The sequence below is a fragment of the Homo sapiens genome, chromosome 3, assembly GCF_000001405.40.
Source record: "Homo sapiens chromosome 3, GRCh38.p14 Primary Assembly".
NCBI lineage: Eukaryota > Metazoa > Chordata > Mammalia > Primates > Hominidae > Homo > Homo sapiens.
In genome coordinates, this window is record NC_000003.12 from 20,041,967 (window position 1) to 20,066,598 (window position 24,632).

A 24,632-nucleotide genomic window follows, 5' to 3' on the forward strand; every position below is an offset into this window, starting at 1 on the left:
TATGCTCAGGTTTATGTTAAGCACCTCTGTATCCTACACTGGTTCAATAAATATTTGTTGAGTGAATGTAGGATCTAGCCCAGTGCTCCTCAAACTTTAATGTGCATGGGAATCTCCTGGGGAAGCTGGTTAAAATGCTGATTATGAATCAGGTGGTCTGAGGTGGAAGCTGAGAGTTTGCATTTCTGACAAACTCCCAAGTGATGCTATGCTAGTCCACAGACCACATTCCAATTCAGACCTGGACAATATATTATTTGTCCCCTTTGATTTTAGCAGAAAAGACAGAAACAAATAATAATGCTATGTGGTTATTTCTGAAGAAGGAATGCAAAAAAGATGAAGTGGGGAGTGTGCTTCTAAGAAAGGTGCAAGCCCAGGAGTTGATCATGAAGGGCATTAGACGAATGAGAACAGGACACCGACTGTAGTAGGCAGAAGGGCGAGCTATGTACAGAATTAAGAACAAGGTCATGGGTACAGGGCATACTGCTTGGGTGATGACTACACCAAAATCTCACAAATCACCATTAAAGAACTTATGTAATCAAACACCACCTGTTCCACAAAAACCTATGAAAAAAAAGAGCAAGGTCAATTACTTGGTGGCCTTGGCGTTTCGCAGCCAAAGTGGGCTCATGCAGGAACTGTCTCAACTCAGTGTTTCTGTTCTGGCTTTATTTTAAAATTTATTTATTGGGTTCTCATCACCAGCACCTCTTAAAGACTTCCTGCTGCCTGCTGTAGCTTTAATATCTGAAAACTTTCCTGAAGTTTTGGTTTTGTCTAAAACCATGAGCATATGTGGCCTGCATTGATATTTTTGATCTTTTCAAATTTCCATGGGTGAGATGTAGCACCACTTCCAAGTGGGATTTGAGTGTTTCCTGGTCACTTTCATGACCCAACAAGAGAAAGAGAAAATTTATTTTAACGTCTTTTTTTTTTTTTGAGACAGGGTCTCACTCTGCCACGTAGGCTGGAGTGCAGTGGCATGATCGTAGCTCACTGCAGACTCAACCTCCCTGGGCTCAGGTGATCCTCCTACATCAGCCTCTTGAGTAGCTGGGACTACAGGCATGCGCCAGTACACTATTATTATTATTATTTGTATTCTTTGTAGAGATAGGGTTTCACCTTGTTGCCCAGGCTGTTCTCAAACTCCTGAGCCCAAGCAATTTGCCCGCCTTGCTTCCCAAAGTGCTGAGATTATAGGCATGGGCCACCATGCCTGGCTGAAAGTGTTCATTTTTATGTATCCATTCATTCAGTAAATATTTAGAGGGTTACCAACTGGGTGTCAGGCATTGGGCTAGGTGCTGGGCCTATGACACACAGAATTTGTCCTTCAGGAGTTACTTATTGTGTGTGTGCACAAGTGCATGTGTGTGTATGCATGTGTTGGGGGCCTAGGGATGAGGGCAGTGAACCAAAATTACAGAGAAGTTCAGAAAAACTACTTTCTTGGAGTAGTTGCGGACCCAGAGCAGGACAGTTCATAGACTGGGGCACTGGTAGGGTGGGATTGGCTTCCTGGAGGAAGTGTCAGTGGCTGCTAAGAACTCTTGGCAGGGCAGAGTGGGGTGGGGTGAAGCTTCTTGTAGTGGAGAAACTGAAAGCAGTTGTGGAAGCTTGGAGGTGGGCCAACTGAGCCAGACCTTTGTTGCCTAGGGCCACCGGCTGGGGTGCGTGGCCAAGAGGGCACTGAGGAGTGCAGGAATCTTAACCTGGAGAGTGACATTATCTCAGATTTGCTTTTTTTAAAAAAAAAAAAAATTTAACTGGACTTGATTGGGTACGAGGGAGTGTAAGAGAGCAAAATCTGTGGTTCTCTCTCAGCTTGTTTCTGCACTTAATATGAGCAAGCCCAAAAGGACAGATTGCTCTACCTTTGCCACAGGCCCCTTGGCAAGTTAGATTAGAGAGATTAGAGAATGAGGAGGGATCTAGAAAGAGATAAGGTAGTTCACTGGGGGGCTTTTGAAAGAAAAACAGGTCCCAGGCCTGATATAAATCTGGCCTTTAAACTTCACAAACGAAACCAAAAAAGAAGGGAGCTAAGTCAGCCAGGGTGACGTGCCACACCCCAGAGAATAGAAAAAGAAAAAAAAAAAAGAAAAAAGAAAAGAAACAAACAAACTTGTTTCGCAGGATCCAGATCTTTGAACTGTGTCCTGGTAAAGGTTGCTTCAGAGTCATTTTGGTTCTGTGTTCATTAAAAATGTAGATCTAGGCCAGGCGCAGTGGCTCAGACCTGTAATCCCAGCACTTTGGGAGGCCGAGGCGGGAGGATCACTTGAGTCCAGGAATTTGAGGCCATCCTGGGCAATATAGTGAGACTTCGTCTCTACAAAAAATAAAAAATTAACCAGGCGTGGTGGCAGAGGTTGCAGTGAGCTGTGATTGCACCGCTGTACTCCAGCCTGGGTGACAGAGCAAGATTCTCCCTAAAAAAAAAAATAAATAAATAAATAAAATAAAGTAGATCTGACCATGTTATACCCACACTTCAGGCCCTTTAATTTCTCTTTATTGTGGTCCACAAGGCCCTGCATGGCCTGGCTACTGCTATCTGTGGCTCCTTATCGAGGGTTCAGGCACATGGTTTCCTTTCACCTAGTCGGGGGTGAGGTGGGGTGAGGGGCTTTGCACATGCTGTTCACTGGGACTGGAAGCTCTTCTTTCCACATTTTAAAATTAACTCCCAACCCTTCCTATAGAACTCAGATTCCTTGCCTTTCCTTTACCCCCCTGAGCAGCCTTCCCATTAGAAATTATCCAAATTCATCTGTACTCTTCCTGGTGCTTATATTATGATTTTTATGATTTGTATGATTATTTGATGTGCATTTAGAATCTTTGAATAGATTCTTAGCCATGCGGTTATTGACTAAGCGAATGAACCAGAGAAGAGAAAATGGAAGAAATGATTAGCTGTGATGTTAGCAGTTGTGGAATTTTAACTTAATCACTTCTTGACAACTAAGTAGAGATTTGTCATATAGGACAGTTCTAGGTGTCCCACAGATATTGATAGGATTGGGTTATTTATTTATTTATTTTTTTGAGACAGGGTCTCGCTCTGTCACCCTGGCAGGAGTACAGTGGCGTGATCTTGGCTCACTGCAACCTGTACCTCCCAGGCTCAAGTGATCCTTCCACCTTAGCCTCCTGAGTAGCTGAGACCACAGGCATGCACCACCATACTTGGCTAATTTTTGTATTTTTTTTGGTAGAGATGGGGTTTCGCCATGTTTGCCAGGCTGGTTTCCAACTCCTGGGCTCAAGCAATCTGCCTGCCTCCACCTCCCAAAGCGCTGGGATTACAGGTGTGAGCCACTGCACCTGGCCTATTTATTTATTTATTTATTTATTTATTTATTTATTTATTTATTTATTTTAGAGACAGGGTCTTGCTCTGTTGCCCAGGATGGGGTACACTGGCACGATCATAGCTCACTGCAGCCTTGAACTCCTTGACTCAGGTGATCCTCCCACCTCAGCCTCTTGGGTAGCTGGGACTATAGGCCTGCACCACCATGCCTGCTTGGGATTGGGTTTTTAATGTTATAAAAGAAACCCCAAGTGAATGTATGAGTAGGCCAAATCCAAATCTTCTTGAATTAAAGTATATCATCTACTAACTTCAAAAGAGAAACAAAACCCATTGACTAACCCTTCCTAAAGGAGCAGGCCATTTATATTAATACGTAAGAGGAGGCAATAGGGTATAGTGGCTAAGAACATGGGCTTCAGAGTTCAGGCTAATCTGAATTCAAATTTTGGGATATCCAGCTCTGCAACCTTGGATAAGGATTTCATTTAAGCCTTTATTTCCCTGTCTGTAAAGGAATGATGTTACCCGCCTCATGGCATAACAGTGAGGATTTAAAATGGGCTGTATTAGACATCCAGCATGGTGTCTTGCCCATGGCAAGCCCTCAGAAGGTAGGGGAGACGCTGTTAACTTGAAAGTCAAGTAAGAGCAACAGACTCAGTCCTGAATCCACCCCAGCTCTGCCACTTGTGTGATCTTAGGCACAGGTCACTTAGTTTTTCTCTGAGCCTCAATGACTGCATGTATAAAGTGGTGATCATGACTTCAACCTTAAAGTTAAAAGAAAAAAGTGTCCCCAGAATTCCTAGAACATAAAGATGCTAGGTTAATGCTGGCTAAATAAACGGAATTGCCTGGTGCTTTACTCGTATATCAGAGTCAGTGGCCACAAAGCATTTATGGAGAACCCAGTTGCTTGGGTTCTCGGCAAGGTGCCACATTTAAGGAGTTTCATGGGTACAGGACTATAAAATTAGTCTTAATTGAAAAAATAGGCCCAGGGCATGGTGGCTTGTGCCTGTAATCCCAGCAGTTTGGGTGGCCAAGGCAGACGGATCACTTGAGCTCACGAGTTCGAGACCAGCCTGGGCAACATGGTGAAACCCTGTCTCTACAAAAATTACGAAAATTAGCCGGGCATGATGGTGCGTGCCTGTAGTCCCTAGCTACTCAGGAGGTTGAGGTGGGAGGATGGCTTGAGCCTGGGAGGCAGAAGTTACAGTGAGCTGAGATCATGCCACTGCACTAGACCTTGTCTCAAAATAATAATAATAATGATTTATAATCTAGAAGTAGCACTGGTTGTAGAATATACAGAGAGCAGAGGTAGATGTGCCACCACAAAACAAAAAGCATCCTCTGTTGGCTAAGGGCTGGTGGGTGGGGCACTAGAACAAGCCTTATAGTTGGAGAGCGCCCCCAACACCTTTGTATTTGTCAGTCACTCCCCCAGAGAGCAAATTGTCTTTTTCATTTGTCAGCATTTAGAGCAGTGGCTCTCACCCAGGAGCTATTTAACCTCCCAAGGGACATTTGACAATGTCTGGAGACATTTTCAATCTTTGCAGTTGGGAGGAGGGAATGCAACTGGCAACTAGTGAGTGGAGGCCAGTAATGTTGCTATACATCCCACAATGCACAGGACAACTCCCCCCAACGAATGATTATCTGGTCCAAAATATTAATAGAATTAACAGAAGTTGAGAAAGCCTGTTTTAGACAAATACCTTTGCAGCACAGAAAGAAAAAACATCAATGGTTTTTGTTTTGCCCCCCCCTTTTTTTTTTCTGAGGCTTTTTTGAGGCAGGGTCTTACTCTGCTTCCCAGGCTGGAGTGCAGTGGGCTCAGGTGGTCCTCCCACCCTAGTCTCCCAAGTAGCTGGGAGGCTACTTGGCCAGGCGCACGTCACCATGGCCGGCTAATTTTTGTATTTTTTATAGAGATGTTTCGCCAACCTGGGTTTCGCCATGTTTAACAGGCTGGTCTTGAACTCCTGGGCTCAAGCAATTGGCCTGCCTTGGCCTTCCAAAGTGCTGGGATTACAGGCATGAACCACCACGCCTAGCCTAAACCAATGCTTTTAATATGAATATGACTAACACTTAAAATCTGAAAAATCTCACTTCGTGAATCATGGGCATATATTTTAAACAGCTTTATTGCGGTATAATTTATAGATCATAAAACTTGCCCACTGTAACTATGCTGCTTTTGAGTTAATGTATGCAGTTGTGCATCCATCACCACAACCCAGTGTTATGACTTCTTCCATCCCCGAAAGTTTCCTCTTGCCGTGAGTACCTTTTTTTTTTTTTTTTTTTGAGACGGAGCCTCACTCTGTCACCCAGGCTGGAGTGGAGTGCAGTGGTGTGATCTCAGTTTACTGCAGCCTCCACCTCCCGGGTTCAAGCAATTTGCCTGCCTCAGCCTCCTGAGTAGCTGGGATTACAGGCAAGTGCCACCATGCCCTGTTAAATTTTTTTGTATTTTTAGTAGAGACGGGGTTTCACCATGTTGGCCAGGCTGGTCTCAAACTCCTGACCTCAAGTGATCTGTCTGCCTGCGCCTCCTGAAGTGCTGGGATTACAGGCATGAGCCACCACACAAGGCCCATGAATACCTTTTTAAAGTGATATTTTGTATCAAATTGGTTGTTGGTTTGCAAACAGAAACTAAATTAGAAATATCTTTTTGGCAAGGCTTCAGATAGGCAATATTGTCACAGCAAAGTACAAAGCATGGAGGGAGGTGGATAAGATGTTGTTTTAAAAGATCAGTCTTTAGCCACATAAGTTTATTGCATACAATTGTATCCTGTGGTGACTTCTCTAAAATGCGGTAAGTGTCATAAAGCCAAGCATACAAAGGAAAAAATGTTTCATTTGGCAGGCACAATACAAAAAGCCTGAGAGAAAGATGTCCAAATTTAATTCTGTATCCTCAGAAATTTTCAGGGAAGATGGAAATTCAAGCCTGCAAAGCCTTCAGATTGCAATTTGTAGTTTTATATAACTGAGAAAGTGTTTTACAGGGCAAAACAGCAAAATCTGCTGAGGACTGTTTTGTTTTAGGAAGTGTGTGCTTGGAAATAGCGATTTGTGATATAGCGCTGTTTAAGGTTTTTGTTTTGTTTTGTTTTTAAAAATCATCTGGCAGATTTAAACCCAGTTGCCTCGGTGTTAGCCAGATTTAATTCTGCGGTTGTTAAGTAAATCCATAGGGTCTGATCCATCATGGTGACTATGGAGGGTGAAATATAAACTTTCCTGTAAGATGCCTGGGAGCAGTCAGCACATCTGCTTCTCAGATGAATACTCCGTGTAGTGCCAATAAAATTAGGATTTTCAAGGCTCAGTGGCTTCTGATTTAGTTAGTCTGTCGTTAAGAGAAAAGTGGCTATTTAGGAAAAATTGTCAACAGTTTCCTACTCTTGCATGCTGCTTTTCTGCTGTGGTCATCTGATTCAAACGGGGAATTAGAACAGGCACATTGGCTACTCACACATGGGGAGAGAAGGAGGGGAATCCTTGCTTCTTTCCCTCTATGCTGGGTGCCTTTGGGCAGCGCCCCCCTTTTCTTTTTTTTGAGACGGAGTCTTGCTCTGTCGCCAGGCTGGAGTGCAGTGGCGTGCACTGCAACCTCCACCTCCCAGGTTGAAGTGATTCTCCTGCCTCAGCCTTCCGAGTAGTTGAGACTACAGGCCCCCGCCACCACGCCCGGCTAATTTTTGTATTTTTAGTAGAGACGGGGTTTCACCATGTTGCCCAAGATGGTCTCGATTTCTTGACCTCGTGATCCGCCCACCTTGGCCTCTCAAAGTGCCGGGATTACAGGTGTGAGCCACCGCGCCTGGCCGGGCATCGCCTTAACTGCCTAGTTTCAGTTTCCTCCTTGGTGAAGTAGGAGTCCAGGTGCCACCTCATTGACTTATTGTGAAGATTAAATACTTCAGGATATATGAAAGTTCTTGGAACCTAGGCATTCCACAAATGTCTATTTAATTTTATTTGTAAAAAACGTTCCATTGGTATTAGCAGTTTGTGTGTTTGCCAAAGTGTTATGTCTCACGACATTTGATTCTTCTACCCGGGGAAAGTGGAAGGTAAGGGAGTTCATTTTACTAGCAGGGAACTGAGACTCAAAGAGGTTAAGTGACTTCTTCAAGCTACAGTGGTTACTCATGAAAGCGTCTGCCCAAGTAGATCCTCTTTCCTATGCACCATTTTGCCTCCTCTTCCAAAACTTTCGCATGGGGTAGAGGGGGTCGCTTTTCTTCCAAATGGTTTCTTGAGAGGATTACATTTGTTTTAGGCATTCTGCTGTCGTTTGAAATTTATTGTACTCCAATTGAGAGGTATGTTCAAAGGATTTTCTAGTCCATTGAACCTGTGCAGGCCATAAAGTAAACAAAATAAGCATTCTTTATTACTGGCCCAGGACAGACATATACATGCTCTTGATTGTTTTAAAGTTGACAATCAAGACTGGTCACTGTGCTGGCCCAATAGAATTCTCTGTTGAAGAAAGATGAAAGAGACACCTACTCAGGCTATAGAAGGTGCCAAATGTGTCAGAAAGTTAAGAAATTGACTGTCTTGAAAGTTTAGAAGTCCAGCTGGGCACCGTGGCTCCCCCTTGTAATCCCAGCATTTTGGGAGGCTGAGGCAGGCGGATCGCTTGAGCTCAGGAGTTCGAGACCAGCCTGGGCAACACGGTGAGACCCGGTCTCTACTAAAAATACAAATATTAGCAGGGCGTGGTGGCTTGCACCTATAGTCCCAGCTACTCAGAAGGCTGAGGTGGGACGACTGCTTGAGCCCAGGAGGCAGAGATTGCAGTGAGCTGAGATCATACCACTGCACTCTAGCCTGGGCAATGGAGTGAGACCCTGTCTCAAAAAAAAAAAAAAAAGATTTAGAAGTCCCCCAACCAGTTTATATAAGACGGTTCACACAACAGTATCTCAACATGATAAAAAGGAGTCATTAAAAAAAACTTTTAGTTGCATTACACATAAAGGGCTCAAATCATGTTTATAGCGCAATTAATTTTTACATGTGTATACATCTATGCAACTGCCACCTAGATAAAGCTGTAGGACATTTTCAGCATCTCAGAGGGTTCTCTTGTGCCTCCTCCCCACTCCTGGTAATCCTTATTCTGACTTCTATTACCAGAGATTAGTTTTGTCTGTTCTTAAACTTTACATAAATTGAGTCATATGGTATGAATTATTTGTGTCTGGGTTCTTTCACTCAACATTATGTCTGTCAGATGCATCTATATTATTGCATATAGCAGTAGTTTGTAAAGACACATGTTTTTAAATTAAAAAATTAAAACATTGCCAGCAATTTTCAGGAGGAAGTCATTGGATGTGGACAACCTCATGGGATGAATCTTTTTTTTTTTTTTTTGAGACGGAGTCTCGCTCTGTCACCCAGACTGGAGTGCAGTGGCATGATCTCGGCTCACTGCAGGATCTGCCTCCTGGGGTCATGCCATTCTATGGGATGAATCTTTAACTAAGCTTTTGAAAGAAAGGATGGGAATTTGATAGTCATATTTGGAAGAACCCAGGAGGGCAGGAATGTGGATAAGAAATCAAGGAGGTGGCCGGGTATGGTGGCTCATGCCTATAATCCCAGCACTTTGAGAGGCCGAGGTGGGCAGATCGCTTGAGGCCAAGAAATCAAGACCAGCCTGGCCAACATGACAAAACCTTGTTTCTACTAAAATACAAAAATTAGCTGGGCATGGTGGCACACACCTGTAGTCCCAGCTTCTTGGGAGGCTGAGGCATGAGGATGGCTTGAACCCAGGAGGCAGAGGTTGCAGTGAGCCAAGATCACACCACTGTACTGTAGCCTGGGTGACAGAGCAATACTCTGTCTCAAAAAAAAAAAAAAACCCAAACAAAAAAAACAAATCAAGGAGGGGTACTTGGCCAAGTAGATGTAGATAAGGAATATGAAAGGAAGAGAGGTAGAATGATAAGGAGGTGGGTGCATGTGGGCTGATGATGTCACTGCTGGTAGTATGTCTAGCCTGCATAGCTCCTTCTCCCCTGGAGTCCGTATTGGTGAGTCCTTACTGGTAAATATTCATGTGAAATCCTGTTGCCACTTGTCCCTGGTTCTGGAAGATGACTAGAGTTGCTATACGTTGTAGTCGGTGAGCCATGCAGAACCATACATGTTGAGAGTGATGGCAGCTTTCCTAAAAGGCTGGCAGAGCCCAGTACATAAAGCTCCAGTGGGCAATGCCACCTTTCTTATGTGGGCCTAGTTGATAGAGATGTTGGAAAGAGAACATTCAGTCCTGTGTTCTCTAGAACTACTTGCTGAGGCCATTAAATGCCACCCTCTCCCCAGGAATGACAGTGAGAAGCAAAGATTACTCTACAGCTCCACAAAGATTTTTCATAACAACTGTCCCTGAAAAGTAGTATTGAATATATGATGAGCTCGTTATTTAATGGCTGATTCATTTGAACCATCCACTTATAAATTAGTCTTTTCCGTAATTGGTATATTTAACAAAATGGGAATTTACTTAAAGATTGTGTGTTTGCACACATGGGGTGTTATATCTATTGCCATTTATTTATTCATTTAACATTAAATTCCATGGGCTGCTTTGGAAGATTTCTGCTCAGGTACCTCCTGTTCAAACTTCTTAAGATAATTTATCACCTAGTTATAATTGAAATGGAATCAAGTCTTTTATAATTTTGAATCACATTCATCTCTAGCATCTAATTGTGCATGTGGTTACCTGCTGCTTTGCACACTTTTCTCTGCCATGTATCTCTGTATCTTGTTCTCAAAGCCTCATTCCAGTCTGTTCTTAAATGCCAGCTTCTCAGAGAAGCCTTCCTGACTCTCCGGTCTAAAGTAGCAGCACCCCATCTATCACTCTATAATCTTATCTTGTTTTGTTTTCCTTTACTGCACTTCTTAATATTTGGAAATTATGTTTTAAAAAATGATTTCCTATCTGTTTTCCTTATGACAATAGAAGCTCCATGAAGCGGAGATTTGGGTTCATGGAGCCCATAAGGCCTCAGCCCATAGGAGAAACAGACAAGTTGTACTGGGGATTAAATTCCATTAAATTTTCCATTAAATTCATATCTCGGGTGGATCATACCTTGCACATAGTAGGCACTTGATAAATATTTGTTGAATAAATTGGTAATTTGATATTCACAGGCTTTGTGAGATTGGTGGAAAGGAAACTGTATTGTAAAGATGGCCAGGCATGGTGGCTCATGCCTGTAATCCCAGCACTTTAGGAGGCTGAGTTGGTGATCCAGCCTAGGCTACGGAGAGAGACCCCATCTCTTAAAAAAAAGAAAAAAAAAAAAGAGAGAAAAAGAGGCCGGGCACGGTGGCTCATGCCTGTAATCCCAGCACTTTAGGAGGCTGAGGTGGTCACATCACCTGAGGTCGGGAGTTTGAGACCAGGCTGGCCAACATGGTGAAACCCCATGTCTACTAAAAAAACAAAAAGACGAAAATTAGCCAGGTGTGGTGGCAGGTGCCTGTAATCCCAGCTATTCGGGAGGCTGAGGCAGGAGAATCACTTGAACCCAGGAGGCGGAGGTTGCGGTGAGCTGAGATTGCGCCACTGCACTCCAGCCTGGGCGACAAGAGCTAGACTCCGTCTTCAAAAAAGAAAGATGAGGAAACTAAGGTGCAGGGAGGTTTAGTAGCTAGCTTTGTGGTCTGCAGCAGGGCAGCCTCCAGCTGGAGCTGGAACAACACTTACTCATAGTTAAGTGTGTTTCCCCTTGGTTCATGGCAGACTTGATGACAAGCAACAGTTATCTTATGGCCTGAACGTCTCCTACAAATCAAGCAAAGAGGAATCACCTATATTTTAATCCTCTCCAACCACTGTTTCCTCTTCTGCAAGTTACAATTAAATTCTTAAGGCCAGGAATGTGGCTCACGCCTGTAATCCCAGGTGTGGGATCCTACTTTTGGGTGGCCAAGGTGGGCAGATTGCTTGAGCTCAAGGGTTTGAGACCAGCCTGGGCAACATAATGAGACCCCATCTCTATAAAAATACAAAAATTAGCTGGGCATGGTGGCACATGTCTGTAGTCCTAGCTACTCAGGAGGCTGAAGCAGGAGGATCACTTGAGTCCAGGAGGTCGAGGCTGTGGTGAGCCGTGAGTGTGCTGCTGCACTGTAGTTTGGGTGACAGAGTGAGACCCTGTCTCAAAAAACAAGACAAAACAAAAAAACTCAGGAAGGTATATGAGTGTTATGAGATCAGTGAGTTAAAAGCTACAAAGTGAGACAAAGTTTTAGCATATATTCTAGAAGTCTGTATTATATTAGTAAACTTAAAAATCAATTGTATATGAAGGCATTCTTTAAACTACTATTTATATTTTTTGTTACTTTGTGGCCCACTTTAAAGTCTACAATAGACTTTCTTTAATTGTTCCTTTACCATTTAGGCTTATTTTTTATTTATTTTTATTTTATTTTATTTTTTTGAGATGGAGTCTCACTCTGTAGCCCAGGCTGGAGTGCAGTGGCATGATCTCAGCTCACCGCGACTTCCATCTCCAGGTTCAAGTGATTCTCCTGCCTCAGTCTCCCAAGTAGCTGAGATTACAGGCATGTACCACCACACCGAGCTAATTTTTGTATTTTTAGTAGAGATGGGGTCTCGCCATGTTGGCAAGGCTGGTCTCAAACTCCTGACCTCAAGTGATCCATCCTCCTCGGCCTCCCAAAGTGCTGGGATTACAGGCATGAGCCATTGTGTCCGGCTTTAGACTTATTTTTTTTTGTTTTTGTTTTTTGTTTTTTTGTTTTTTTTTTGAGACGGTGTCTCGCTCTGTCACCTAGGCTGCAGTGCAGTGGCGCGATCTTGGCTCACTGCAATCTCCGCCTCCTGGGTTCAAGCAATTCTCTGCCTCAGCCTCCTGAGTAGCTGGGATTACAGGGGTCTGCCACCATACGCAGCTAATTTTTGTATCTTTAGTAGAGACGGGGTTTTACCATCTTGGCCAGGCTGGTCTTGAATTCCTGACCTCGTGATCCACCCTCATCGGCCTTCCAAAGTGCTGGGATTGATTACAGATGTGAAGGAGATGGATGCATTTATTTTGGAAAAAAGTGTGAATAATGTCTCTAATGGTCCACTTGGAACAATACATCACCTAATATCAGGAGGAGGTTTAGGGTAATCTTGTCAGTAACCTCAGGGCAAGTTGTATGGGGTTGCTTCCATTAAATTCCATGCCATCCTAATCAGTCCCCATGCGTTGTGTACTCTTGGCTTGTGCAGCTTTTTGCGAGGTTTGTGTGGTATGCAGGAGGTTCCAGAAGTACAAGGATGAGACCTGAGTAATATCATAGTGATTGATGGTGGCAGTGCCAATTTGCATCAGCTCTGACAAGCTGGTGTTGAAACTAGATGGCAGAATGCCAAAGATGCCAAGGTCAGCATACTTTGAAATAATGAAGTGAGTCATGTAACCCAGGATTGGCACATACTCACAGGACTACCTGACTCATCCCACCTCGAAAGGAACACATCTGTGAGCACCGGTTAGGGGCCTGTGGCCACTTCTCTGCTACATGTGCAAAAGGAAGCAAAAGCCACAAGGAGCCCTTTTCTTGTTGAGGAGACAGATATTAAGTGAAAGAAAAATTAAAATGAATAATCAAGCATGAAGTCAATGCAGAGAGAAACCATTGTGAGCCAGGGGGAGGTGAAAGGGTGGGAGAGAGACCCAGCCCAGATAGAGGGAACAGAGTAAAACCAAGCAGAGAAGCAAAACTGTTGTGAGCCAGACGTGAGAGTAGTTTAGAACATGGACCTGGGCACCAGACTGCCTGGGTTTGAACCCTGATGTGTGACTATGGGGAGGTTACTTATGCTTTACAAGCCTCAGATTTCGCAGCTGTAATGTGGAGACAGTGATATATGTCAACTTTTTCCGTTTACTCAACAAATTGTTATTTAATGTGCCAGGTGTTGATTTAGATGCTGGTGATACAGTGACAGATGGGTCCTTATTCTTGCAGAGCTTGCTTTCTGGTAGCAGAAGCAGACAATAAGCCAGAAAATAACAGAAAGTGGTAAGTGCCTCGCAGAGAATGAAAACAGAGAATTAAATGAGAATGCCTGGGGAATTCCTCTAGATACATGCCCAGGAAATCCTTCTGCAGAAGGGACACGGACCGAGGCCTGCATGATAAGAAGTGAGGAAGAGGGTGCCGTGCAAAGACTCTGGGGCCAGAAGTGGCTTGTCGTGTGTGAGGCCTGTCAGGAGACCTGTGTGGCTAGATGGAGGTGGGTGGGGTGGGGGGTATGAGTGTAGGAGATTAGGTGGAAGGGATAAATGGGGGCCAGATTGCCAACATATAATTTTTACACAGTGATGTCAAGATCTTTAGTTCTGATACGTTTCAACAAATACGTATCAAGACAGAACTTTTCCATCCCCCTAGAAAATTTCTGCCTGCTCCTTGCCATTCAAGTCTCTCTCCCTTGGAAGCAAGCACTGATCTGATTTGTGTCACTTTAAGTTAATTTAGCTATTTTTCATATAAATGTTACCACATAGTACATACTGTTCTTTCACTCAGTATATTTTTGAGATTAATCCGTGGTGTTGGATGCATTGGTAGTTAATTTCTATTTATTGCTGAGGAGTATTCTGCTGTATGGACGTACTAGTTTGTTTATCTGTTGACTTGTTATGGACATCTGGGCTGTTTCCAGTGAATTCAAATTAGATTTCCGGTTTGAAGTGACCCCTCTGGCTGCTCTGAGAAGAATAAAGTATATGAGAGAAACAGTAGATAAAGAGGGCCAGTTGGAAGTTATTATAGTCTAGGTATGAGTAGATGGTGTCTTGGGCTAGGGTAGCAGGAATGGAGGGGTGAGAATTAGTTTGGGCTATATTGTAAGGGTAGAGGCAACAGGACTTAATTTGTTACAAGGGAGGTGGTGATGAAAAGACAGAAATGAAGGATAATGTCCAGGTTTTTGGCCTGAGCAACTGAATGGATGGTAGTTCCATTTACCAAGATAGAGAATACCATAGGAGAAGCAGGTTTGGGTAAGAATAAAGAGTTCTTTGTTGGAGGTGATACATTAGATATGTCTGTTAATAGACAAATGCTATTTTGAGGATAAAATGAAATAATGTATTTAGTAACTTGGTATAGAATCTGGGACATTCTGAATGCCTCATAGATGTCAGTTACTGTTACAATTAAAACAATGCTAAATAATAATTATTGTTTTTAATAAAGAGGCTAACCAACTTGGAGGAAAAGAGAAATATGGTCAAAGAGAAACTGGGACATAGGGTCTGCTAGGTTAGGAAGAAATGAGTTGATAGAAGGTCTTGAATTTCAGGTAGAAAATTTTGGACTGAATCCATTTGATAATAGTGTCCTTGCCTTTTAAGAAGGAGGAGGCACAAGGTATTTTAGAATGCCACAGAGGAGTTCTAGGTTTTGATGTTGGCTTCTTGTTCTTTGCCAGCTGAGTGAACTCAGGCAAGCCACACCCCTTCTCTAAGCATTGAATTACTTGTCCTACAGGGTTGTTGGGAGGGGAACATAACATGATTTGGACTGCAATTGCCTTGGAAAGTAGTAAACACAAATGCTTGACGTTCTTAAGTGGCATTTTAGAGTACAGTGATGTGAGCTGGTATTAGGAGGAAGGTTGGGAGTGGGAATGTATTGGAAGAGGGGAGGAAGTATTTCTTCTAGTTGGCTGATAAGGGCCTGAACTGGGGCCCTGGCAATGAGAATGGAGAAGGTATAGATCTGACAGAGTTTGAAAGAAGAATCAGGTGGCCTGGATGAGGGCATTGAGTGCAGATTAACCTTAGGAGCTGGGAGAAGGACAGTGCCAACAAAGGGAATAGGGTAGTTGAAAAGGGAGTATTGGGATGGAGGGCAAGCCTTTTTGTAAAACTGACTGGGCAGAAATGCTGGATGTAAGCAGTTAGAAATGAGGGCTGGAAGTTCTGCTTTACAGGTTGGGCTGGTTATGTGGATGTGAGAGTCATCATCTCAGATAATGACTGATACCATGAGAACGTGAGCTGTCCAAGGAAACAACGTATAAGGCACTACTTATTTTGCTCATCCTGGTTGATTTGGTGCCAAAACAACAGGCGGAAGGGTGAAAAATTCTATTAGTCAGCTGGTTGTCTGAACTGCTCAATGTTAGCCAAGCAGTTTGACAGATCTTTCCACTGTGTCGAAGTCTGAGCTGACTGCTCTGGCATTTTGACAGATAATTTCTGATAAATTCTGTGTGTGTGTATTAAATGGAAAGAAATTGTCTTGGATTTAGCATTCCAGGGTACTAGTTTCTAGGCCCCAGTGTCACCCAGGACCTCCTGAGGCCTTTTCAGGGGTAATGCATGCTTAGGTTTGCTCCTGGAGAGGTCACTCGGATGTAATGAAGGGTCTGGCCAACCCCTAGGCTATTTGGTAACAACTGGAGCCATTCCAGCATCTTCAGAGAGCCTGCCAAGGGGGTTCCAGACCTTTCAGTCAGCGGGACCTAATTATAATATTTAGCAAAGGGAGGGCAGTTTCTTATTCAACTCCAGCATAAACACAAGGATTTCTTCCAGACAGGGATGTCATGAAGATTTTCTGTTGATTTGATTTTGGAGTAACCATGGAGAGCATAGATGAGAAGAATTTGAATGAGGTGTTTATTTATACCTGGGTTGTTTTGTCTTGGGTCATTTCCTCATGATATGCTTTCCACTCTCTTTCTGTAGCCTTGACCACTCTTTAATATTTGTTTTTTTGATTCCTTGTGGCTTCACAGACCAAAATGGCACTCATAAATTAAGGTATTCAGCCAGGTGCGGTGGCTCACGCCTGTAATCTCAGCACTTTGGGAGGCCACGGCAGGCAGATCACCTGAGGTCAGGAGTTCAAGACCAGCCTGGCCAACATGGTGAAACCCCGTCTCTATTAAAAATACAAAAATTAGCTGGGTGTGTTGGTGGGCAATAATCTCAGCTACTCGGGAGGCTGAGGCAGGAGAATTGCTTGAACCTGGGAGGCGGACATTGCAGTGAGCCGAGATTGCGCCACTGCACCGTAGCCTGGGCAACGAGCGAGACTCTGTCTCAAAAAAAAAAAAAAAAAAAAAAGGTTTTCAGAGATGCTTCTGATAGTGAATTACCTCACTAGTTATCTTTTCTCTCTTACAATTCTATTTCTATCTCAATCCCAGGCAGTTTTGTTCTCCTGAGGGAACCCTGATCCCCACCCTGTATACTTTCCTCTTTTCACTTGTGTCAGATTTTTAAAGTTCCCATAGTTTAAAAATCCCAGCTTGAAGTCATAGCATTATGGTATCTTCTGCTGGCCTTCCATGTACAACTGTGTGAACTGGAAGGATTGTCACACAGTGGAGGAAGAAAAAGGGCTTGTGTCCCAGGGAAGGATTACTGAACCATTTAATCTGTATATGAAAAGCTAAAGTTAATTCAGGGAGAAGAGAAAGGTGTTGCTGAAGTCAAACCATCTTTATCTCTTCAAATCTTGGCTACTCAAAGAGTGGTCTTCACCCAGGAACTTTTAGAAATGTAGAATCTCAGGTTCCACCCGACACCCACTGAATCTTAATCTTCATTTTGATGAGATCTCCAGGTGATTCCTGAGTAGATTGGAGTTTGAGAAGCACTACTCCTAATTACATCAGCATAATTCAAACTGCTCATTTCCAAAGAGAAAACTTCTGGCAATCCCAGCTGCTTACAGTGGACTCCAGGTGTTGTTTTTTAAAAATATTATTAAAATATCTTGCTGGGCATGTGGCTCACACCTGTAATCCCAGCACTTTGGGAGGCTGAGGTGGGCAGATCACTTGAGGTCGGGAGTTCGAGACCAGCCTGGCCAACATGGTGAAACCCCGTCTCTACTAAAAATACAAAAATTAGCCAGGCGTGGTGGCATGCGTCTAGTAGTCCCAGCTACTCGGGAGGCTGAGGCAGGAGAATCGCTTGAACCTGGGAGGCGGAGGTTGCAGTGAGCTGAGATCATCATGCCACTGTACTCCAGCCTGGGCGACAGAGACTCTGTCTCAAAAAAAAAAAAAAAAAAAAAAAGGCCAGGCGTGGTGCCTCACGCTTGTAATCCCAGCACTTTGGGAGGCCGAGGCAGGTGGATCACGAGGTCAGGAGATCGAGACCACGGTGAAACCCCACCTCTACTACAAATACAAAAAATTAGCCAGGTGTGGTGGCGGGCGCCTGTAGTCCCAGCTACTTGGGAGGCTGAGGCAGGAGAATGGCGTGAACCTGGGAGGTGGAGCTTGCGGTGAGCCGAGATCGTACCACTGCATTCCAGCCTGGGCGACTGAGCGAGACTCCATCTCAAAACAAAAACAAAAACAAAAAAAACTTTACTGAGTTATGATTTAGGTACCATAATATTCTCTAGTTTTAAGTGTACAATTCAATGATTTTTAAGAAATTGACAAGTTGTACAATCATCACCACAATCTACCTTTTAGAAGATTTCCATCACCTCCAAAGGATCCTTGGGTCCATTTACAGTTAACCCTGTTCCTACCCCCCACCCCAGATGACCACTAATCTTTCTGTCTCTATAAATTTGCCTTTTCTGGATGGTCATGTAAATGGAAGTATACAGTATGTGGCCTTTTATGATGGGCTTCTTATGCCGAGTGTAATGTGTTTGAGATACATCCATGTTGTAGCATATGTCAGCACTTCTTTATCTTTCATTGCAAGTAATAATCCGTTATATGACTAGAACACATTTTGCTTATGCGTTAACTAGTTGATGGGCATTTAGATTATTTCTGCCTTTTGGCTATCATGAATAATGTTGCTGAGGCATCTGCATGCAAGTCTTAGTATGGATATATTTCTGTTTCTCTTGGGTAGATACTTAGTGGATTTGCTGGGTCATGTGGTAAATTTATGTTTAACTTTTTGAAAAAATTGTTGTTTCTTAAAAAACTGTGGGCTGGGCATGGTGGCTCACGCCTGTAGTCCCAGTACTTTGGGAGGCCAAGGCGGGCGGATCACCTGAGGTCGGGAGTCTGAGACCAACCTGACCAACAGGGAGAAACCCTGTCTCTACTAAAAATACAAAATTAGCTGGGCATGGTGGTGCATGCCTGTAATCCCAGCTACTGGGGAGGCTGAGGCAGGAGAATCTCTTAAACCCAGGAGGCGGAGGTTGCAGTGAGCTGAGATCACGCCATTGCACTCCAGCCTGGGCAACAAGAGAGAAACTCTGTCTAAAAACAAACAAACAAACACACAAACAACAAACTGTGGTAATGCTGGGCATGGTAGCTCATGGCCTGTAATCTTAGTACTTTGGGAGGCTGAGGTGGGAAGATCCCTTGAGTCCAGGAGTTTGAGACCAGCGTGAGTAACATAGTAAGACCCTGTCTCTACCAAAAAATAAAAATAAAAAATAAAATAAAATAAATTATCCAGGTGTAGAGGTACATGCCTGTGGTCCTGTCTACTCAGGAGGCTGAAGTTGGAGGATTGCTTGAACCCAGGAGGTTGAGGTTGTAATAAACCATGATCATGCCACTGCACTCCTGGGCAACAGAGTGAGACCCTGTCTCAAAACAACAACAACAACAACAACAACAAAACTGTGGTAAAATATAGATGATCTAAAGTTTACCATCTGAACTATTTTTAAGTGTCTAGTTCATTGGTATTAAGAAATTCACATTATTGTGCAATCATCACCACCATTCATCCACAGAACACTTTTCAGCTTGCAAAACTGAAACTCTGTGTTCATTAAACAGTAACTCCCTCTTCCTTCCTCCAACCCCTCGGCAACCACCATTCCTATCTCTATGAATTTGGCTACCATAGACACCTTATCTAAGTGGAATCATACAGTATTTGTCATTTTGTGACTATTTTACTTAGCATAACATTCTCAAGTTTCATTCAGGTTGTGGCATGTGTCAGAGTTGCCTTTCTTTTTAAGGTTATATAATAGCCCTTTGAATGTATATACTACGTTTTACTTATTTATTCATCTCTTAAGGGATGCTGGGGTTGCTTGGACCTTCTTGCTGTTGTGCTTAATAATGATACTAGGACATGGGTGTCCAAATATTTCTTTGACTTCCTACTTTCAATTCTTTTGGGTATATACCCAGAAGTGGAATTGCTGCGTCATATAGTAATTCCATTTCTAATATTTTGAGGAACTGTCATACTGTTTTCCATAGCAGCCATACCATTTTACGTCTTCAGCAGGAATATTCAAGGTTTCCAGTTTCTCTACATCCTCTCCAACACTGTTTTCTGTTTCTTTTGTAGTAGCCATGCTAATGGGAGTGAGGTGGTATTTCATTGTAGTTTTAATTTGTATTTTCATACGTATATATGAAAAAATAATATATATGAAAAAATATATTATACATAAAAATATATAATTTATAATACATAAAATATATTATATATTATATATTATACATAAAGTATATAATATATAATATACATAAAATATATATAATATACATAAAATATATAATATATTTGTATAAAATATGTATTATATATTATATATAAAATATGTATTATATATCATATATAAAACATAATATATATTATATATAAAACATAATATATATTATATATAAAACATATAATATATAAAACATATAATATATATTATATATAAAACATAATATATATTATATATAAAACATATAATATATATTATATATAAAACATATAATATATATTATATATAAAACATATAATATATATTATATAAAACATATATATATAAAATATATAATATATAAAAATATATAATATATAATATATATAATATATAATATATAAAATATATATATTTTATATAAAATATATTATATATAAAAATATATATAAAATATATAATATATAAAATATGATATATAATATATAATATATAAAATATAATATATAATATATAAAATATAATATATATAAAATATTTATTATGTATAAAATATAATATATAATATATTTTATATATAATTTATAATATATTATATATAACATAATAAATTATATATTATATATTATATATTATTATATATAATATATAATATATAGAAATTATATATATTTTATTTTATATATATATATATTAGAGGTAGTTTTGCTCTGTCACCCAGGCTGGAGTGCAGTGGCATGATCTCGGCTCATTGTAACGTCTGCCTCCTGGGTTCAAGCGATTCTCTTGCCTCAGCTTCCCGAGTAGCTGGGATTACAGGCATGCGCCGCCACGCCCAGCCAATTTTTGTGTTTTTAGTAGAGACGGGGTTTCGCCTTGTTTGCCAGACTGGTCTTGCATTCCTGAGCTCAGGTGATCCACCTGCCTCAGCCTCTCAAAGTATTGGGATTACAGGCGTGAGTCACCGTGCCTGGCCCATTTTCATAATTATTAATGATGTTGAGCATCTTTTCATGTGTTTATTGACCATTTGTATATTTTCTTTGGAGAAGTGTCTGCTCAAGTCCTTTGCCCATTGTAAAATTTCGTTGTTGTTGTTGTTGTTGAGTTGTAGGCATTCTTTATATATTTTGGATATTAACCTGTTATCAAATATATGGTTTGCAAATATTTTCTCCCATTCTCTGGGTTGCCTTTTCACTCTGTTGTGTATGTCTTTTGGTGCACAGAAATTTAAAGTTTTTCCTAATTCCAGTTTATCTGTTTTTCTTTTGTTGCCTGTGTTTTTGTTATTTATTTTTAGACAGTATCTTGCTCTGTTTCCCAGGCTGGAGTACAGTGGCACAGTCATGGCCCATTGCTGCCTCGAATTCCTAGGCTCAAGGGATCTGCCTGCCTCAGCCTTCTGAGTGGCTGTGACTGCAGGCGTGCACCACTATGTCCAGCTAATTTTTAAAATTTTTGTAGAGATGGAGTCTTGTTTGTTGCTCAGGCTGGTCTTGAACTCCTGACCTTCCCAGCGTGCTGGGATTATACACCTGAGCCACCACACCTGGCCGCCTGTGCTTTTGGTATTATATCCAAGACACCATTGCCTGATCTAGTATCATGAAGATTTTTTCTGTATTTTCTTTTAAGAGATTCTTTCTTTCTTTCTTTTTTTTTCTTTTGAGATGGGGTCTCGCCCTGTTGCTCAGGCTGGAGTGCAGTGGTGCGATCTCACCTCACAGCAACTTCTGAGTAGGCCTCTTTTTTTTTTTTTTTTTTTTTTTTTTTTTTGAGATGGTTGCTCTGTTGCCCAGGCTGGAATGTAGTGGCACAATCTCAGCTCACTGCAACCTCTGCCTCCCAGGTTCAAGCAATTCTCCTGCCTCAGCCTCCCAAGTAGCTGGGATTACAGACGTGAGCCACCATGCCCGGTTAATTTTTGTATTTTTAGTAGTGACAGGGTTTCACCATGTTGGCCAGGCTGGTCTTGAACTCCTGACCTCGTGATCCAACTGCTTCGGCCTCCCCAAGTGCTGGGATTACAGACGTGAGCCACCACGCCCGGCCGAGATTCACAATTTTATGTTGAAGTCTTTCATCTATTTTGAGTTCATTTGTGTGTGTGTTATTAGCTAAGGGTCCAGCTTCATTCTTGTGCACACAGATACCTAGTTTTTCCAGCACCATTTATTGAAAAGACTGTCCTTTCTCTATTGAATGGTCTTGGCACACTTGTCAAAATCATTTGACCATTATCTGTGAGGGTTTATTTCTGGGCTATCTATTCTGTTCCATTAGTATATAAGAAGCTAGCAAACTGTTTTCCAAGGTGGTTGTACCTTGTTACATCCCACAAACACTGTATGAGGATTCCAATTTTTCACATGCCTGATAATTTGTTATTGTCAGCTCCTTTTGAAAAAAGAACTTATTTTGTGTTTAATTGACACCTAATAATTATACATATTGATGGGGGCATAGTGTGGTGTTTTGAAACATGTATACATTGTGTAATGGCCAAATCAGTGTAATTAGCATGTTCATCACCTCAATCACTTGTCATTTCTTTGTGATGAGAACATTCAAAATCCTCTCTTGTAGCTATTTTGTAATATGCAATATATTATTGTTAACTATAGTCACTCTGCTGTGCGATAGAACACCAGAATTTACTCCTCCTATCTATATTTGGTTAGAGAGATCTTATTGGGTGAGAAGTTACGGTTTTGATCCTTGACATTTAAACATTATGACTTTGTCCAGCATGGAGCAGAGAGGTAGTGAATAAGAGTGAGTCCTTCCTCTCTCACAACCACAGTGCCAGTTACCTGCCTGGACACATTTTGTGCATCTGCAGGGTAGAATGAGTAACCCCAGGCAAGTCTCTTATCACCTAGAGCCTCAGCTTTCTCTTTTAATAATGGCAATAATTCATACTTTACTTACATCGAGTGAGATAAGAGTACATGTACATTTTTAATTTTGGGTGCTAAATAAATGTTGGATCAGTTATACTGAATAAATTTTCCATCAACGTGTTCTTGCTGTGGGACATCCTTGACACTAATTTAAGTTTTCCAACAAATGCGACTTTCCAATATTTTAAGCATGACAGAATTTTGCTAGACAGCTGGCTGTCTTTCTCCTGTTCCTCTGGATGCCACTCAAATATCTTCACACCCATCTCACTCATTAACACTGCGTGAACTGTGAGCTCTCCACCCCTTGTCTGTCTGTAATCTGGGTTGTGACTACTTGTTTATCCAGTTTATCTTCTTTCTCATCATCCATCCTGGTTTCTGCATACTATAACAACATCGGTTGCATACTATTGACCTCTAACCCTGGATCCTGTTGGGATGAAAACATTATCCCAGTCCTGTTGAAAGTAGTGCAGTGGCCTTTTCTTCTTTCTTGGTTCTGCAATGTCTGCAGAGATGTGCTCTTGGGGGGATGAAGTCATCTGGGTAGCTTTCCCCTCCCTGTGCCCAGGTTGCTAGCTGCTACAGTAATTGGCTTGGCAGTGCACTCCCTAAAAGGTTGTCCTTCAGCTGGTACTTCATTAAAGCTGCAAGGCCAACTCCCTTGGGAGTTCCCTTAGACAGCAGCTGTCATGCCTAATTAAGGAGAGACATGGGAAAGGTGTTTTGAAAGGAGACCTCTTATCTCGAAGAACAGTGGCCAGGCCTGAACATTGGAATGGGGAGATGAAGGCCAAAGTGGAGGGCATGGTAGCAGCAGCTCAGAAAACTTGGCAGAAAATGCTTTGCTGGCAGTCAAGGATAAGAGCATTGACTGTTTTTTAAAGGACACAGTATGTCCTTTTTAGCAAATCAAGTAACGAGTCCCATATATATTAAAAATTTTGTACACTTAGGTTGTTAGGTGTCCCATGGAGCATGCACACATGCAAGAACCAATTTTCATATCCTGCAAAAAATACTGAAACAAGTAAGGAAAACTCAAGGGATTCTCATATATATCAATAGGGTATAACTTTAAAGAGTTAGGACCACTTAGGGATGCTGAGACTATTCTATGCTTAAACTGTTAGGGTCCATAGTGAAGACCTGGGGCTTGGGGGTGGAGTCCCTTTATAGTCTAGTGCACCAATATCCAATAGTAATATGGAGGCCGCATGTATTATTTAACATTTTCTAGTAGTCCTGTGTATTAGTTTCTTAGGCCTGTCATAACAAATAACCACAAAATATGTGGCTTAAAACAACAAATACAGTTTTTTTTTTATTCACAGTTTTGGAGGCTAGAAGTCTGAGATCAAGATGTCATCTGGGCCACACTCCTTTTGAAGGCTGTAGGGAAGAATCTTTCCTTGCCTCTTCCTAGCATCTGGTGGTGCTTGGCAATCCTTGGCATTCTTTGGCTTATAGTGAGACCCTGGTCTGTCTCATAGTGAGATCCAGCCTCTGCTTCTATCTTCACTTGGCCTTCTTTACTGTTTGTCTGTGTCTGTCTCCAAATCTCCTTCTTCTTTCTCTTAGGAAAACGCCAGTCATTGGTTTTAGGGCTTAGGATAATTTCATCTGCATGTCCTTAACTGATCACATCTGCAATGAACCTATTTCCAAATATGGCCCCATTTTGAGGTTCCAGGGGAACATGAACTTTATTTATTATTATTATTTGAGACAGTCTCACTCTGTCACCTAGCTGGAGTGCAGTGGTGCCATCTCAGCTTACTGCAACTTTGGCCTCCTGGGTTCAAGCAATTCTCCTGCCTCAGCTTCCCGAGTAGCTGGGATTACAGGCATGTGTCACTATGCCTGGCTAATTTTTGTGTTTTTATTAGAGACAGGGTTTCACC

General features: G+C 41.9%; 1 protein-coding gene across 3 annotated transcripts in view, besides 4 other annotated features; it reads left to right on the forward strand.

Annotated features, from left to right (window-relative positions):
- KAT2B (lysine acetyltransferase 2B) overlaps positions 1 to 24,632 on the forward strand; it is a 113,959-nt gene that overhangs the window by 1,521 nt on the left and 87,806 nt on the right. The gene's annotated exons all lie outside the window — the stretch shown is intronic.
- Positions 1,343 to 1,512: an enhancer, noted in NCBI's record as "active region_19580". NCBI's record gives its function as "activates an Ori minimal core promoter by ATAC-STARR-seq in GM12878 lymphoblastoid cells {active_cell/tissue: GM12878}" and the evidence as "EXISTENCE:reporter gene assay evidence [ECO:0000049][PMID:35858748]".
- Positions 1,593 to 1,752: an enhancer, noted in NCBI's record as "active region_19581". NCBI's record gives its function as "activates an Ori minimal core promoter by ATAC-STARR-seq in GM12878 lymphoblastoid cells {active_cell/tissue: GM12878}" and the evidence as "EXISTENCE:reporter gene assay evidence [ECO:0000049][PMID:35858748]".
- Positions 12,992 to 13,231: an enhancer, noted in NCBI's record as "active region_19582". NCBI's record gives its function as "activates an Ori minimal core promoter by ATAC-STARR-seq in GM12878 lymphoblastoid cells {active_cell/tissue: GM12878}" and the evidence as "EXISTENCE:reporter gene assay evidence [ECO:0000049][PMID:35858748]".
- Positions 16,947 to 17,116: an enhancer, noted in NCBI's record as "experimental_67745 CRE fragment used in MPRA reporter constructs". NCBI's record gives its function as "activates a minimal promoter by MPRAs in K562 erythroleukemia cells, with activity observed for the non-introgressed 3:20100490 variant allele {active_cell/tissue: K562}" and the evidence as "EXISTENCE:reporter gene assay evidence [ECO:0000049][PMID:34662402]".